Source organism: Homo sapiens, chromosome 20, assembly GCF_000001405.40.
Source record: "Homo sapiens chromosome 20, GRCh38.p14 Primary Assembly".
Lineage (NCBI taxonomy): Eukaryota > Metazoa > Chordata > Mammalia > Primates > Hominidae > Homo > Homo sapiens.
The window spans coordinates 19,926,816-19,944,496 of record NC_000020.11 but is presented as its reverse complement, the minus strand read 5'-3'; the positions used below and the strand labels follow the sequence as shown (position 1 = coordinate 19,944,496).

Genomic DNA, 17,681 nt, shown 5'->3' with positions numbered 1-17,681 from the left:
AGGGGTCATCTTATGAATCAAGGATGAGACAGAAGTCAAGAGTCTTGTGCCCACCATGGTCCTGATCTTGGGGCAGTAGATCCTTGACCATGTATCAAAAGGAACACAAATATACACCTCAAATGCCAAGCTGCAGCCAAGATGCCTGGATAGGTGGGAGATGAAGCCAGGACTTAGCGGGGTTGGGAGAAGAGAGGTGGTGGGTCTGGGATCAACAACTTGTGGAAGAATATTAGTACCAGAGGCCCCTTATGTAGAGAGACAGAAAATAATGGCCCATACTGAAGATATCTATCAACTAAAAATCTTTGGCACAGGACAAATTCCAATTTGTGTTAAAGACATACACACACACAGAGCAAACAAAAAATTCCCAGAAAAACTTCAACTTCAAAAATACATAGAAGTTGATATCCAATGATTTCTTAACACCTTCAGACATAAAAATATTTCTTTAGAATTTTGAAGTTCAGAACTTGAGTCTAGTTATAGGTAAAAAAAAAAAAAAAAAAAAAAAAAAAGGATATTGAAATGGAATTAAACATGTCTCTGTAATATTCTATTAGTCTGGAGAAGAAGGGAAACCCCAATCCATTATTCTGGACACGGCAGGACCCTGGCCTGGCTAACACAGTTGACAGCATGGAAATTGCCAGGTGAGCAGAAGAAACCTTTTACCCACCACCCAGCATGGGAAGAGTGGTGGGCAGAGAGGCATGGGGAAATGGATTGTCTTAGAAGGACCCCTGCATATTTAGCCAAGTTTTAAGGGCTATCAGAGGCCATCCAGTTTATCTCCTTATTTGAGATCAAAATGCTAGAAATTGATAAAACTGGTCCTAGGTCCAGTTTTCCGACTTAGGGAGTTTCCCTAGAGCAAGCAAGTTCATACTTAATTCCTCAAGGCCTTTTTTTGTCCCATTAAACTCTAAAAGGAAAAAGAATCACTAGCATATTTGGGGTTACAGATTTTATTCCTCCATGGCGAAGGGCTGCTGCTTTTTGAGGGTGGAGCCCCAACTTCCTCAAAAAAGATTTGTAAGAGCATGTCACAGTAGGACTATTCTGAAAAACCTTTAGGGCCTTTGGTAATTTTTAAGTTCTATCAACTGAGGCCCAGCAGAAGAGGACACAGAAATGGGAACAAAAGCTCATGTCTGCCTCCAGGGAGACGCTGCCATTTCGGGAGGTAAGAAAAAGTGGTAGCTGTTTTGCCCAGGAACTTCCTCTGGTTGACTCTCCAGCTAGAGATGAGAAGGCCAGATACAGAGCGAATGCTGGCAGAGGCTTTCATTTGTTCCTGTAAAAATAAGAAAGAGGAACAAAGAACCTGTTGTCCTGGTTGCCCTTGGAGCTGAAAACAGGCAGAAGAAGGAGCCAGGCGGGCTCCAGTCTTGGTCCCGATGCCCTTCAAGCCCGGGGCATGCACCCTGCTTCACGGAAAGGCAAGTGTTCCATGGATTGGCAGTTTCTAGTATTTAATTGCTCTGGGTTACACTGGTGTTATTTCCTAGCAGATGAATTCTAACTAAGCAGATATTTTATGGCAGAACCAATTGCCAATATAGCAGCAATGCAAAGCCTACAGAGCACAAAATAGCTCCAATTCTGGAGTATGCTGCTGGTGACATTGTGTGGCCAAGGTCAAAATAGCTCCAACTCTGGAGTATGCTGCTGGTGACATTGTGTGGCCAAGGTTTACTGTAAACAGATAAGCTAGCCACTACATTGGAAGGTGCTACCCGTCAACAAAAACAGAATCAATTTCTAGGAAACTGCATTTCTAGGATGATCAAAAACACCTTGTAGGTCAGTGAAAAATCATGCATGATCTACCATTTAAATGGATTGTCATGCAAAAACATCAGAAGGATACACATCAAAGCAAAGAATTAAATCAGCCAACCCAACAAACAATCAAAAATGATTCTATCTTGGAGTGGGGGTGGGGTCGGGGTCAGGGTGTTGTTTATTTTTATTTTCTGCATTGTGCTTTTTCCACCATGTACACGTTTTACTTTTGGCTATCAAAAAAAGAAATCTTAAATGTTTCTTTTAAAAAACTTCCCAAAGATAACAGATATCACCAGTCAAGATAGACTGAACAGCTCTTTAGGGCATTTTTTATCTTACACTTCTTATTCGTTAATGAAATTGATGTACCTCTGACCTAGAATTACCTGCTTCCCACCTGAGGTTCTTGGGACATCTGCTGTCCTCCTCTGTTCATCTGACGTATTCTATTATGTCCCATTTCGTTACATGATACTCACTTGTTTACAATTTTTTCCCTCCTTAGGTTGTGTAAATCTTCAGGCTCCACTCTCATGGTATTTTGGTAAATATGATCCACTGAATAAATACTTTCTCTTTCTTTTTTTTTTTTTGAGATAGAGTCTCACTCTGTCACCCATGCTGGAGTGCAGTGGCTTGATCTCGGCTCATGACAACCTCCATCTTTCAGGTTCAAGCAATTCTCTTGCCTCATCCTGAGTAGCTGGGATTACAGGCATGAGCCACTGCGCCTGGCTAATTTTTGTGTTTTTACTAGAGAGGGGGTTTCACCATGTTGGCCAAGCTGGTCTCAAACTCCTGACCTCGTGATCCACCCACCTCAGCCTCCCAAAGTGCTGGGATTACAGGTGTGAGTCACCCTGCCCGGCTTAAATATTTTCTTTAATTTGAGTTTAGTTGTTGCTACATTGGTGATAGTGTAGCGAAGAGTTGGTCAACCCTCATAGAATTCATTGAAATCATGTTCAGGACACTCCTGGTTGAGTTGAAATATGGAAATATTCTAGGGGATTGGGGGTAAATTGATCAAAGTAATCATAGTAGAGAATCCTCAGTGACATAGCCGGAAAATGTCTCACCATAAACCTGTTGCTGCTACACGGCCTGCCCTGTAGCAGTAACAGGTTTGTGAGCAAAGCCATCGATGTGTGATGTGTTTACTCTGTGGATTTTCATCTAGCTGGATACTTATTTGTGCAATTTTGCTGAGTTATGTTTTACTTCAGTGGAAAATTATTTAAAAAGCAGCACCAAGTGAAGGTGGATCTGGTTCAAAAAGCCACAGAGTCGCTAATGTGGTCACAACTGTCCCTCTTGAGACTTAAGGAAGTGGAACTCTGGGCATCTTTCCCCAGGCTGCGGCCACCATTCTTCCCTTCTCATCTTCAGTTCTCACCTCTGGGCAAGTGAAGAAGTGAACAATTGTACAAGGGAGGAGCCTTCTGGGTTTCCTGTGGTTATAATGTCAATGCTGTCACATAGCCACTGGGAAGCTCAGAGCTTCCCAGAAGAGGCCAAAGGTGATGACCAGCTGCTACATTGTAACATTGAGAAGAGCTGGCCAAGGAATTTTTGAATTTCCTGTGTCATGTCTGGTTCTGTGGTGGGGCAGGAGGAGTGAAGACATGGGACCGCAGGCATCTCACAGCAATCCACTTGGGCTAGAGGACACCAGCGAAGTGGCAGCAGGAGTGACAGCTACAGGAGAGTGGAGGAAGGGATGAGCTGCAGTTCTCACTGACCTGCTCTAGCCAGGATGCCAGGGATCCTGCAGAGGCAGCCTGGGCCCAGACAATAGCTGGGGAGGTTGTTCTGTGGATCCCTCTGTTCCGCCTGAGGATAAAGTGATCTTTAGAGACTTGTCTCAGCCTAGAGGGGATGGGTTCAAGTGATGATGAGGGTGGAACCTACCTCAGGCCTGGTGAGCCTACCCAAAAGAGGCCTGCTTCCGCCAAATGAAAATGGACTGTGGAATCATGTGGGAGGGAGAGGGGAGTGAAATGCCTTCATGTTCCCATACTCTCCAGTCTTTGCAGGGATGCAGTGGGAAGAGAGGAAGCAGGAAACCACACTGGGAGAGAGCAGAAAACCAGGAGCAAGAAGCCCTCAGTCTCGCCCCTGGCTTACGGGCTTCCATTTGGTAGATCAGCAGAGGCATGGAGGGAGATTTAATCAGCTCCTACTCTATTGGCCAAAGATTAAAATAGCTCATGGTAGAACTGGTCAGGGAGGCACAACTGGAGACTGGGGGAAGGGCCTCTGCCCTATTTCTTTGCTAGGGAGGAAGCCTTAGGCCTGTCACACATTTTCAACTTTTTATTTTTTTATGCACCGGTTGGTGGCCACCTGCAAGAGGTCTCTGAGGCAAGAATACTTTAAAATCACTAAGGGGCTTGGCACCTTTCCTTTATCCATTCAACAAATACTTGCGAGTGCGTGCTCTATGCCAGATACTGTCCCTGGCACTGCAATCCCAGGGTGAAGGACAGACCCAGTCCCTGGTCTCACAGAGCTTACCTTCTAGTGGTGGGAGGCAGGAAATGCACAGATAGGCCAGGTGTGGTGGCACACGCTTGTGATCCTAACTCTTTGGGAGGTCAAGGCGGGCGGATTGCCTGAACTCAGGAGTTAAAGACCAGCCTGGGCAACATGATGAAATGTCTCCACTAAAATACAAAAACTTAGCCGGTGGTGGTGGCGCGTGCCTGTAATCCCAGCTACTCAGGAGGCTGGAGGCATAAGAATTGCTTGAACCTATGAGGTGGAGGTTGCAGTGAGCCAATATCACACCACTATTGCACTCCAGCCTAGGCGATAGAGTGGAAGTCTGTTTCCAAGAAAAAAAAAAAAAAGAAAGAATGGACAGGAAGCAAGTGAATATATGTCCTGTGTGTACAAGTTCTATGAAGAAACATAAAGCCAGGTAATGAGGTAGAAGAAAAGGAGGGCTCAAGGGTGAAGGCTTCCTGGGGGAAGGATGTGCCAGACAGAAGGAACCGCAAGTACAAAGGCCAGGAGGCAGGGGCCACATTGGCAAGGAAGTCAGTGGGACTGGAGCTGAGTGATGGGGAGAGAATGCTAGAGAAGAGATGGCAGAGGAGAGGGGTGCTGGGGTGTCACATCTTATAGAGTCTTGAAGGCCATGGTAATAATTTTGGTTTTAGATGCAAAATTATCAAAAGGCTTTGAACAAAGGAGAGATGTGTCTTGGACTTAGGTGAACTAAAAGGTTCACCATGCTGCTTGGCTAATAGCCTGGAGAAAGTGGAACTGGTAGAAGCAGAGGCACCAGGCAGGGGCTACTGCAGTGGTGCTGGTGAGAAGTGGTTCCATCCTGGATCTATTTAAAGGTAGAGGCCAAGCACGGTGGCTCATGCCTGTAATCCCAGCACTTTGGGAGGCTGAGACAGGTGGACCACTTGAGGCCAGGAATTCGAGATCAGACTGGCCAACATGGTGAAACCCCATCTCTACTAAAATTACAAAAATTAGCCAGGCATTTTGGCACATGCCTGTAATCCCAGCTATGTTGGGAGGCTGAGGCACGAGAATTGCTTGAACCTGGGAGGCAGAGGTTGCAGGAGGCTGAGATCGTGTCACCACTGCACTCCAGCTCTAGGCAACAGAGCGAGATTCTGTCTCAAAGAAAAATAAAAGGTAGAGCTGCCTGGATTTGGAGATGGATGGGAGGAGGGCAGTTATGACAGGAATAGAGGCACCATTGATGAGTACAAGGCCCAAGAAGCTGGAGGCATGGTGACTGGGACGGGGAAGACCCAGGAAGGAATGAACCTATGAAGGAACACTTCCTGAGTGGGCAGTTGGTTACCAACCTCTGGACTCAAAGAGAGGATTGGCCAAGGGAGTATAAGTTGGGAATAACCAATGTATAGATGGTATCAGAGCCACAAGACTGGGTGGGATAACCTAGGAAATTACTCCACAGACCACCTTTTAAAACTACATATAGTGTGGCTATTACCACGTGTCAGGCACTGTGCTGAGTCCTTGACAGCTATTAACTCACTTAATCTTCCCAACAACACTGTGAGGTAACTCTGTTATTATTCCCATTTTAATGAGGAGAACACTGAGGCACAGATATTTTTTAAAGTACCTTGTACAAAGTTAGTGGGAGAGAGAAAAGGAAAGGTGTGAAGAGTGAAAAGGAGTGGCTCAGCCAGGCGCAGTGGCTCACACTTGTAATCCCAGCAATTTGGGAGGCTGAGGTGGGAGGATCCCTTGAGCCTAGGGGTCTGAGACACACCTGGGCAACACAGAGAGACCCCAATCTCTACCAAAAATTAAAAAAAAAAATTAGCTGGGTGTGGTGGTGGGCACCCGTGCTTCCAACTACTTGGGAGGCTGAGGCGGGAAGATCACTTGAGCCCAGGAGGTCAAGGCTGCAGTGAGCTGTGATTGTGCCACTGCACTCCAGCCTGGGTAACAGAGTGAGACTCTGTCTCAAAACAAACAAACAAAAACCAAACAAACAAAAAAAGAAAAGGAGGGGATCAAAGTGTGATCTCTGGGTTCTCCAGGGCTGGAGTTCAGGGAGATAAAGAAGAACCAGCCAGGGCACTGGGGGCAGCAGCAGGACAGCTAAGAGGATCCCAGGGAGGTGTGGGGTCCCAGAAGCCAAGCCAAGCAAATGTCCCAAAAAGGAGGGCAGATGGACCATGGCAGACGACGCTGACAGGAGACAGGACGGGAGGTGGGCACTGGCCATCGGGCCAAAAACTGACATCTTCACTTTCCATAGCCTCATTCTGAATGAACTTCCTTCCATTTTGATTGTAGGCAACAAACCACAGTAGTAGTATCACGACCTGTGATTTTGTCACCAACAGAAACCACAGAGGTTTCACCGTTGTCACAGCTGTTACAGAGATTGTGTCATTTATGCCTATCTGTCACATGTAAAACAGAAGCACCTATGCCATGGAAGCACATGCTGAAACACACACTGAAACATTCTGATCACTGGACTTCACTGTAATTGTTTTTCCCATGACATCCTATATATGTTATTTTATGCATTCAAAAGATTATTCAGAGAAGGAGTCCATGGCACAAGACAAAGTTAAAGATCAAGGTTATCTCAATATTAAGCACGAAAGAGCAACCAAACACTAACACAGCTAGAGTAATAGTGATTCCTAACCTAGGGACTAGCTTGGTGCTTAATCTGGTATTCCATCAACTAAGGAACCATAGACATTTCGTGGTGGCTGTGGTGGGATAGGCGACTCCCTATCCCAGCTCACACTCACAGAGTACGAAGCTGCAGAGGAAGCTGACGGCGGTGCATTTCCTGCAGCCGTCAGACGTGCAGAGCCAGGGGCCCGGGCGGTGCTCGCCACTTCTTTCTCCAGGGGTTTTGCTGAAAGCAACTCTGCTACCTACTGGTCTGCTTTCCTCTTCCCTCCTCTCCCCTTTGGCTGCTGCTCTGTGCCAGGCTGAATTGTGGCCACAGCTATGCTTTTCCTTGATCTTAGAAATAACTGAACTGGCCCTCCTGACAGCTCCATTGGACAAAATGGAGAAATTAAAACCAAACTCACTACTTCTAAAAAATCAGCAAGACACTCCAGCACAGAAGCCAAAACTGTGTAGCTTTTTCCCCACAGCACACAGTTTCCACATCAGTCAAATGCAGGCCCTAAAGAGCTTTCCCTCCTGGAAGTGCTAGGAAGATTCCGTAAGTTAGTCGCTATAAGCGACTTAGAACAGTAGTTTAATATGAACAGTGTTGCCACATGGCCAACATGATCTATATTGTTAAATAAAGACAACTCATCTTGCTTTTTCCTCTTTCTTTTCTGTTAAAAAAAAGCCAAATAAAATGCCTTTGCAAATGTATAAATTCATGAATTAAGCAACATAGCATTCAAAGTGACATTCATCTGGGAAAAAAGGCTGTTGTGGACTGCTTACAGTTATTCTTACCTCTGAAAAGGAAAAGATGGAAGGAAATGTTAAAGATTAAGCAACCACCCAGCTCTCACTCTAATACCCACCGGAGTCAGAAAACAAGATCTTGAGGGCCCCTCACATGTTCAGAACGTCCTTCTCACACCCCCAAAATCCCCTGTGCTTATATGCAGGGGAAAGGTTTCCGCCGCTCTGTGTCTGGGTGTCTGTCATCTGTGGAGCTTGGGGTTGATCTCACAGAGCCGCCTTTCCTGGCTATGAAAGAAATCAGTGCTACCAAAGCTCTCTTTTCTGTTGTTATCAGCCTAGACTCCCAATTAAATTTTAGCTCAACAAGGCACAGGATAGAGAAATTCCCTGGCTAAAGTTCCACGATGTTTGAAACTACTCTGGAGGTGAGGCAGAGAGTCACTACCTGAAAATCATTGTGCATTTGTCTAGTTTATGGGGAAAAAATAAGACTTTCACACTGAGGTCAAGAACAATCATAGAATGCTGGGTGTGCTGCAAGGAGCAGGGGGACCATCTGGTTCACCCCCATCGTTTTGTAGAGAAGGAAAGGAAAGGAAGGCACAGAGAATTAAGGGTGAGTGCTGTTCCCCCAGAGACATCGGGTATCAAAGTACCACCTTCCAGCTGCAAGTGCCTCCCTGGGATGTTGCTCTCTCCCGTCAGCGTATGGCGGAACTAGTCGGGCTGGTTTGAAACTTGCCTGGACAACCAGAACCATCTGGCTGGCCTGCCTGTTGCATGACTTGCAGGCAAAACCTACTCCATAAATCTCAGCCTCACACTGCTCCAGGCAGGCTCAGCCCCACTTTCTGGGAGAAAGGGGAAGCTGTTAACAAATCTGGCCTCTAAGGCACGAAGTGTCTGTGTCTTTTTATAGCCATTATATTGTTATCTTGTTAGCATCAAAGTTGGAAGAAGTCACCTTCAACTTCCCACCACCCCCCGACCTTTGCACCCCCTTTCTCCAGGTACAGACCAGTCCCTTGCCTCCTATTCAGACGGTGTGCAGTATGTGCACAGGTATCGCCTTCAACAGCACAGCACGCCGCCTTCCCTTTGTATCGAATTTACAACCACATCCAGTTTCCAATCACTGCACGGCTTTTCAGGTTAATGGTTTTTTGGAGACTGCTGGGGTTTTTCTCTGACCTGAGAATGCAAAATGAGTCCATCCTCTTTAGCTGCTCCCCTGTAAGCCTTCTGGAGACTCACACGGCTACACTGAATTCTACTTTGCACACGCTGGATCTTGCTGCATTACTGTTTCCATCATTGGGAGTAGGTGGATATGGCACAGACAATTTTAGGTTTCCGGGTTCTGGTGCCAGGAGGAATTGAGAGAGTATAAAGTTCAAGTGCCTTCAAAGTGATTAAAATAAACAAGCAGACAACTAGTTCCTAGGCCACTCCCACCTCCTACAGAGGATTTCATCTAGAGCTGCTACCACACTCCCAGCTCCCAGACTTCTGAGGAGTGACTGCAAGTCAGCCCTTGGCAGTGCCAGGGTTCACTCGATCCCTTTCTCGCACCCATCACCTAACCGTGTCTCTGGTCACCTGTGGGTTTCAGCGGGTTCCAGGCCATTTTCCAGGTTGACATCTGTCCGCACCATCTCCTGTTTCAGTTCTCCGATCTCCGAGGCAATTGTGTCAATGAGCTATTCAAAGACAAAAATAGTATGACGTCAGGAAGTGGAGAGGCGTGGCATGCCCACAGCGCCCGGGGAACTCAGGCTTTTCAATAGGAACAGAGATGACCATCTTTTTCTATTTCTTTTTTTTTTTTTTTAATCTTGGCTCTGTGAATTTCCTCTAGCCAGAGGAAAAAATAAAGGGGGAGGAGGCAGCTTCTCCTTAGAAAGGGGAAGAACTTAGGTTTCGGTATTGTAATAAGGAAAAGAATATGACACCCAGTTTGTTAGGTTTCAGTATTGTAATAAGGAAGATAATATAACACCCAGTTAGCTTTCTCAACATGAATATAGACGGGAATAAATACATCCTGGCAAAACCGGGCCTCAATATTCATTTGGCAAGGGAAACCCTCCAAAGGAACCCCCTTTGAAGGACTGAAATTCATACAATGATTATTTTGTTATAGAAATGAGTTTATTTAAAAGATATATCCAGCTTACATATTGATTTCTGACGACATCAAAATGATTTCTTGTTCTATTCTTTGCACTGCTGTGGAGAGAAGATTGTTGGGGAAAGGGAAGAGAAAGGACTGAGTGAGGCTGGGGTGGATGAGTGGGGAGGAGGGGAGTGGGCCCCAGGGCCATCTAGGGGAAAAGGCGGCCCCATCTCAGATCCCCACCTATCCATGCACCTGCATCTGACCCTTCAGGCTGGTCTAAAATCTTTCACCCTCCTATTCACTCATTCAACAGAGTCTTTCCTGGCGCGTACTAGGCACTGTAAGTGTACAGTGGCTGTTCTCAAGGGTGCCACTCTGCTCACTATTTTTTGAAAACATAGTAATTTTCCATACAAACGTTATTTACATTAACAGGTAACAGGTCCATTATTGTTTTAAAATAAGCGTTATTAAATTCCTTCATTTTAATTTCTAAGATGGCAACTATTTATAGATATGATCCATACAAACATAAGTTCTTTGGGATCCTCAATAATTTTTAAGAGCATTGGCCAGGCATAGCGGCTCTTGCCTGTAATCCCAGCACTTTGGGAGGCCGAGGCAGGCAGATCACTTGAGGTCAGGAGTTCAAGACCAGCCTGGCCAACATGGTAAAACCCCATCTGTACATAAATACAAAAAAATTAGCCAGGCGTGGTGGTGCGTGCCTGTAGTCCCAGCTACTCCAGAGGCTGAGGTAGGAGAATCACTTGAACCCAGGAGATGGAGGTTGCAGTGAGCCAAGATCATGCCACTGCACTCCAGCCTGGGCGACAGAGTGAGGCTCCATCTCAAAAAAATAACAACAACAATAATAATTTTAAAGAGCATCAAGGGGTCCTGAGGCTAAGAAATTTGAGCACTGTTCTCACTAAAGAGAAATGTTGTCTTGTCTCAGGTAGCTTTTATCCCACCCAGACTCTGGGAGGGAAACTTCACTTGCGCTTAAAGCTTGTTCTAAAATGTGACCCCATCTATTCACTCACTATTTCGACAAACTTTTATGGGCTCCCGCTTCATGCCAGGTACTGCAAATGGGGAGTGGAGCTGAGAAGATCTCAGTTCTCATGGAGATGAGATTCTGGTGGGGCAGAAAGACACCAGAACCAAGCACTGAGCAGTTCCAGAATGAAGACAGGTGAAGGTAATGCTGTGGGAGCAACAAAGGGGCCAAACAGATCAGGGCGGGTTGGTCAGGGCAAGTCTTTTTTAAGCGATAGAGCCTTGAATGACAAGAATGCCATGAAAAGATCAAAGGAAGAGCCCTCCACATGGAGAGAAAGTTCTGGAGGCCAGGAAGGTGTGCAGGAGGAGAGGCAGGCAGGGATCAGATCTTGCCAACTTTGTAGATCATGGTATTCACCACCTTGAGTCTTCCATGATAAGAACCATTGGAAGGCCTTAAGTAGGAGAAAGCCATTTTACATCTGTTTTATGGTCTAAACCGATCACCTTGGCACTGAGGTGGTTGGAAAGGGCAAGATGAGAAACAGGAAGACCAGTTAGGAGCAACTACAGTGGTCTAGGCAAGAGATGATGCAGCTTGGACCGAGGTGGTAGTGGTGGAACTAGAAAGAACGGGGGAATTTAGGAACAATTTGACATAGAAATTGATATAATTTGATGGATTGAATGTGGGGGTGGTAGAAAGAGAATAATCAAGGATGGCTCCGAAGTGTTTGGTTTGAGCAATTAATAAATGGCATTGCCCTTGACTGAGATGGGAGCAATGGGGAAGAATTAGACTTGAGGGGGAAACTGCATTGAACTTCGGGCAGATTAAATTTATTTCAGTTGTTTATCAGCCATCAAATAAATCTGTGAAGTAGCTTCTGACACTCTGGATGGAGATTTTTCTGTTTGGAAGTCACTGGCATGTGTGGCTGGCATTCTAAAGCACTGTGGCAGGGAGAGATTATCTAAGGAGAGAGGTCGATGGAGAAGGGGGCCCAGCAGATAGCTCTGGACACTCCCAGGACTTAGAGGTCAGAAGAAGGGAAGCCAGCCAAGCCCTTCATGCTTGATCCATCCCCTCGGTGCCTGTGACTGCAGTAAGGACCAGAGGGGGAGCTTCCAGAAGCACTGGGGCCTCGAGAGAGGAAATGATTAGGAGATCCTATTTTATACATATCTCTGTGGCAAAGTTTTTTTAAAAAGTCTGACAATGCCAAATACTCTAGGATGTGGGAAAACAGGATCCCCCTTGTCTTTCTCTGTTTCCTGTTGCTATAACAGAATACTACAGACTGGCTAATTTATTAAGAACAGAAGTTTATTTGGCTCATGGTTCTGGAAGCTGGAAAGTCCGAGAGCATGACTCTGGCATCTGGTAAGAGTCATCCCGTGGCGGAAGGCAGAAGTGAGTGGAGACAGGGAGAGGAAATCGGCCAAGCTCATTCTTTTTGTCAGGAAACCACGTCTTTGAAAACTAACCCGCTACCAAGATAACGGCATTAATTCATTTGTGAGGGCAGAGCCCTCATGACCTAATGATCTGTTAAAGGTCTCACCTTTTAAGACCGTTACAATGGCAATTAAATTTCAACATGAGTTTTAGAGGTGACATTCAAACCATGGCACCTCTTACACTGCTGGAGGAATATTACCCCCAGAGCTACTTTGGAAAGCAATTTGGCAACATCTTGTAGGGTTAAAGATACACAAACCTATATGTGTACTTTAGAGACTAAACTTGCACGTGGGCCCAAAGATACCTTTGCAAGAATATTTGTTGCACCATTATTTGTGAGAACACCTAAGGGTTCATTAAGAGGAGAATGGATACATTAATTGAGTATAAAATGCTACATAGCAGTTAAAAATTAATGAACCAGAACTGTATGTATGAACACATGTATAAACATAAAAGCCCAAAAGGCTTTTTTTGAAAGCAGAAAAAAAAAAAAAAAAGGCAAATCGAGAAGCATTATATACAGCATGTGAAGTTTAAAACCATGCAAACGTTCCCAACACAAGGAAAAAGATACATGGATGGATATCCCAGTTACCCTGATTTGCTCATTACATATTGCATATTAAAATATCACCTGTACACCCCAAAATATGTACAACTATGACATAACAAATTAACAAATAAAATGTATCCATATAATGTTTATATTGATAACATGTTGAAAGAATACTATTTCGTCTATGTTAGGTTTTAAAATATATTATTAGGCCAGATGTGGTAGCTCATGCCTGTAATCTCAGCATTTTGGGAGGCCAAGGTGGGAGAACTGCTTGAGGCCAGGAGTTGGAGACCAGCCTGGACAACATAGTGAGATCGTCTCTATAAAAAGTTTTTTTAAAAATAAAATACTGTTACATGTTATATTATTAAAATTATAAATGCATGCAAAACTGTACTGTATGTTTATAGATACACACATAGACACAAAGGCTATCCTAATATGTATGGGGTTATAATCCTAATCCAGGATAGTGGTTACCTCTAGACAGGAGAAATGGATGAAAGTGTTCACAGGTCAATGGGCTCGGTCACGTGTGAGATTTTATTTATGTATTTATTTTGTAGAGACACTTTCTCACCATGTTGTGCAGGCTGGTCTTGAACTCCTGGCCTCAAGCAATCCTCCCACCTTGGTCTCCCAAAGCTCTGGGATTGCAGATAGGCACCACCGTGCCTGGAAAGATTTTATTTCTTAAAATGAAATGGCGAAATGATGACATTTGACAGTGCTGAGTGATGGGTATTTTAATATGGTGTGTGGTTTTCTGTATGCTTAAAGTACTTTGTAAACAAAATTTTAGGAAAACAAGAAAAAGAAAGGGTGGTGTGTATGAAAATGGAAGGAGTGAAGGGACTAAAAAGGTAGAAGCAAGGAAGGGGTTGAGGGGAGTTTGGGTACGTCTGCTGAAGCCCCACCACCCTGGGACTAGGCCCTGCTTCATTCTGGACCGTGGCTGTGGCCCCAAACAGGAGAGCCACACACCTATCAGAAGCAGAAGGCCTTGTGAGGGAGGGCCGGCCACAGCCTCTGGCAAACCTCAAAGAGAGGACTCCCACCCCAGCAGGAAGCCCCGTCACTGGGTACATTTCCCTCTCCACACTTTGGTTACCTTCACAACCATCATACTGATTTGAACATAAAAACCCCAAATGGCCTTGATTCTCATCAGAATGGGCATCAGTTGATTCCCTTCAGCCAGGCTGTTTTTGTCTGGGTACCGCTCTTGCCGATGCTGTTGGCTGGATCTCCAGACCTCCAAGTTTCCTCCTCAATTCCTTCTCTACATCTGGCCACACACAAGAAGCTGACGGTGTCTGTGGCTGTCACTTAGCGGCACTCCCATGCCAAGTCACCAATCATGCCATGCCACCTATCTCTAGTGCAGAGGAAGGCACCATTGCCATGCCACCTATCTCTAGTGCAGAGGAAGGCACCATGACCCCAAGGCACGAGGGTGGACAAGCACAGAGGTTGCACTTGGCTGGATCGCTGTGGACCCTTCCCTGCTGGATGTGGGGACTTTTTTTTGGTCCCTCGCATCCCCCCCAGCCCCAGCCCCCAGCAACTTTTCCCTCCCCTTCCATTCAGTCCTGACTCACTTGTCCCAGAGTGCAGAGGGATTTAATCTCACAAATGGACCAGAGTTTAGTGTTCCAGGGCCAGTCCTGCCTCTCAGAATCATGTGTATATACCCACTGGGCCCTCCGCCAGCAGCAGTTAGCATCACAAAACACTTCCTCCCCTCTGACGGTTGGATTTTGTCCCACTGAAGGGATTTTGGGTGTTTTTTTGAAGTTGTTTTTGGACAAGTTTGTGTTGATTTATTTGTTTGTTTCTAATTCTCACAGACTTTCAATCTCATCCCTTACACTTGCTTCTTCAAAATTTCCTTCTTTGAGGGCAGAAATAACTTGTCACCCAACAAAGGAGGCCAGTTTTAATGTCAGCTTTCCCATGACAAAGCCAATAGCAGTTGGTGCTACAGGCCCAGTGTGGTGGCTCATGCCTGTAATCCCAGCACTTCCGGAGGCTGAGGTGGGCGGTTCACTTGAGGTCAGGAGTTTGAAACCAGCCTCGCCAACATGATAAAATCCCATCTCTACTAAAAATGCAAAAATTCGCTGGGTATGGTGGCATGTGCCTATAATTCCAGCTACTTGGGAGGCTGAGGGAGGAGAATCGCTTGAACCCGGGAGGCAGAGGTTGCAGTGAGCCCAGATTGAGCCACTGCACTCCAGCCTGGGTGACAGAGCGAGACTCTGTCTCAAACCAGACCAAAACAAACAAACAAACAAACAAACAAAACCCAAAAACAAAAACACAAAAAACTGGTGCTACTAACTGAAGTTTCTCCAGACCCACTTACACAATCCCAGCCTCTAACACATCCCTGTACCTGTGCAGAATTCCTGCAAGCATGGGGAGGGGCTGTCTAAACATCTGCAAAGCTGGTGAGTGAGTGCTGCTCACTACACCCCTGCTCGTCTGTGGACACCTGGGAAAGTGGTGGCAGAGCCACCTGTGATTCAGTGCAGCCAGAGGGTCAGATAGGACAAGGCTGACAAGGCACAAAGTTGGTGAGACCATGGTTCTTACATCAAACACCCAGCACAGCTGCATCATTCCCAGAAAATCCCACAAGCAGTGACAAAGACCCCAACCCAAGGGATAGCCACCTATCCTTATACAGCACAGCAGACCTCAACGGAGGTCTTGCCGGGGCATTGCCTGTGTTTGTTTTTCCCTGCAGGCATGTACAGCAGGACAGAGGGGTGATGTGTTGCCTTTAGAAGCTGGGAGAGAGTGGGCTGCTGGCCTGGCTGGGGACTTCCAGGGAAGAAGAGGGGGTGCTGGTGACCACAAGAGGGAGAGGAAGGCAGGTCAGGGGTTGGGTCCACTCCCTCGTCCTGCATTCGTGCATAACACACCTTGAGAAGCCTGAGGTGTTCACCTGAGTGCTCCTGCATAAGAGCTGGCATCCTGGCCAAGGGCAAGAGAATAACTGGAGAAGGCCCAAGTTCTTTCCCAGCCCTTTGAGGTCACACCCAGGGCTGGGCCTGGGCAAGGCTGGGCCTGCTGAGTTCCAGTCTGGTGCAGGAGTCTACAGTAATTTGTACCATTTTGTAATCATTCTGCATAATTTCTCAGTAGGCGGGGACCTCATCCAAGGGGCCATTCTTCAGGCAGCAACTTGTGCAATTTCGAGGCGGTGTGGCCTGAAGCTCTGACTGGTGACCTGACAGCTGGGAGTAGGGGTAGGCATACCAGCTTTTGGCTCAGAAAAATCTGTCTTCAAATCCTGTCTCGGGCCCCGGTTGGCTGGGTCGCCTTGGGCGACCCATTTGGGTGCCCTCATCCTTAAATCCCCAAAGCTAGGGCTGATGATGTCAAGGGAAGGTCATTGGAGGAATAAAAAGGACAATGAGATTAAAACACTGCAACAGGTCGGGCACAGTGGCTCACGCCTGTAATCCCAACATTTTGGGAGGCTGAGGTGGGCAGATGACCTGAAGTCAGGAGTTCGAAACCAGCCTGGCCAACATGGTGAAACCCTGTCTCTACTAAAAATACAAAAATTAGCCGGGCATGGTGGTGTGCACCTATAGTCCCAGCTACTCCGAAGGCGGAGGCAGGAGAATCACTTGAACCCAGGTGGTGGAGGTTGCAGTGAGCCGAGGTCATACCACTGCACTCCAGCCTGGGCTACAGAGTGAGACTCCATCTCAAAAACAAAACAAAACACTTCAATAGGCACCTAAATACTCTCTAATCCTCTTCCTATTTAAATGATCTCTTGGCCGGGAGCAGTAGCCTACCCCTATAATCCCAGTGCTGTGGGAGTCTGAGGCAGGAGGATCACTTGAGCCCAGGAGTTTGAGACCAGCCTAAGCAACATAGAGAGACCTTGGCTCTACAAAAAAGTAAAAAATTGGCTGGGCGTGGTGGCTCACGCTTGTAATCTTAGCACTTTTGGAGGCCAAGGTGGGCAGATTGCCTGAACTCAGGAGTTTCAGACCAGCCTGGGCAACACAGTGGAACCCCGTCTCTACTAAAATACAAAAAATTAGTTGGGCATGGCGGCATGCACCTGTAGTCCCAGCTACTCAGGAGGCTGAGGCAAGAGAATTACTTGAACCTGGGAGACAGAGGTTGCAGTGAGCCAAGATCACGCCACTGCACTCTAGCCTGGGCAACAGAGTGAGACTCCATCTCCAAAAAGAAAAAAAAAATTACCCAGGCATGGTGGCATGTGCCTTGTAGTCCCAGCTACTCAGGAGGCTGAGGAAGGTGGCTCACTTGAGCCCAGGAGTTCAAGGCTGCAGTGAGCCATGACGGTGCCACTGCACTCCAGCCTAGGTAACAGAGTGAGACCCCATCTCTTAAAATAAATAAGTAACAAATTATCTCTTTATATTAATGGCAATTGTTATTAACCAGAGAGCTGATACTAAAAGACACTTAAAATGGATTCATGTACCTCCCCTCCTGGAAAGAGGCCATTTAATCACCAGCAGCAGAGACCTGGGACTACAAAGAAACAATGTCCGCGGAGTCCAATCTCCTCCTGCCTGTCTGCTCAGAAGCCTCTAACCTAGAGATTTGCCCACTAGGCGCTGAATTTCCCCTAATAGAGAGAAAAGTTGTTGTATGCTTCTTTGCATGCATAGGAAGCTGCAGGGAGGAGGGAAAAGGGAGGAACCCCAAGTCTTGTTTTCTTTCTTTTAGGGTTAGATAAAAGGAGAAAAATTCTCTTGAAGGTCAAGTAAAAGTCAAATAAGAAAGTGCTTATAGCACAAGTCCTGATACAGCGCTCTTCAAATTCCAAGTCT

At 46.2% G+C, this 17,681-nt stretch overlaps 1 protein-coding gene across 20 annotated transcripts in view; it reads right to left on the bottom strand.

Moving 5' to 3' along the window:
• Positions 1–17,681, bottom strand: part of RIN2 (Ras and Rab interactor 2) — a 244,858-nt gene that overhangs the window by 57,960 nt on the left and 169,217 nt on the right. For 16 of the 20 annotated variants that reach the window (XM_047440212.1, XM_047440213.1, XM_017027888.2 and 13 more), the window contains one exon: positions 9,298–9,398. In XM_047440212.1, the coding sequence (XP_047296168.1) occupies positions 9,298–9,398 (101 nt within the window). Of the gene's footprint in view, positions 1–8,716; positions 9,059–9,297; positions 9,399–9,875; positions 10,365–17,681 lie in introns of those variants that run through there. The other 4 variants (XM_017027889.2, XM_047440216.1, XM_017027892.2 and 1 more) reach the window with 4 other exon arrangements.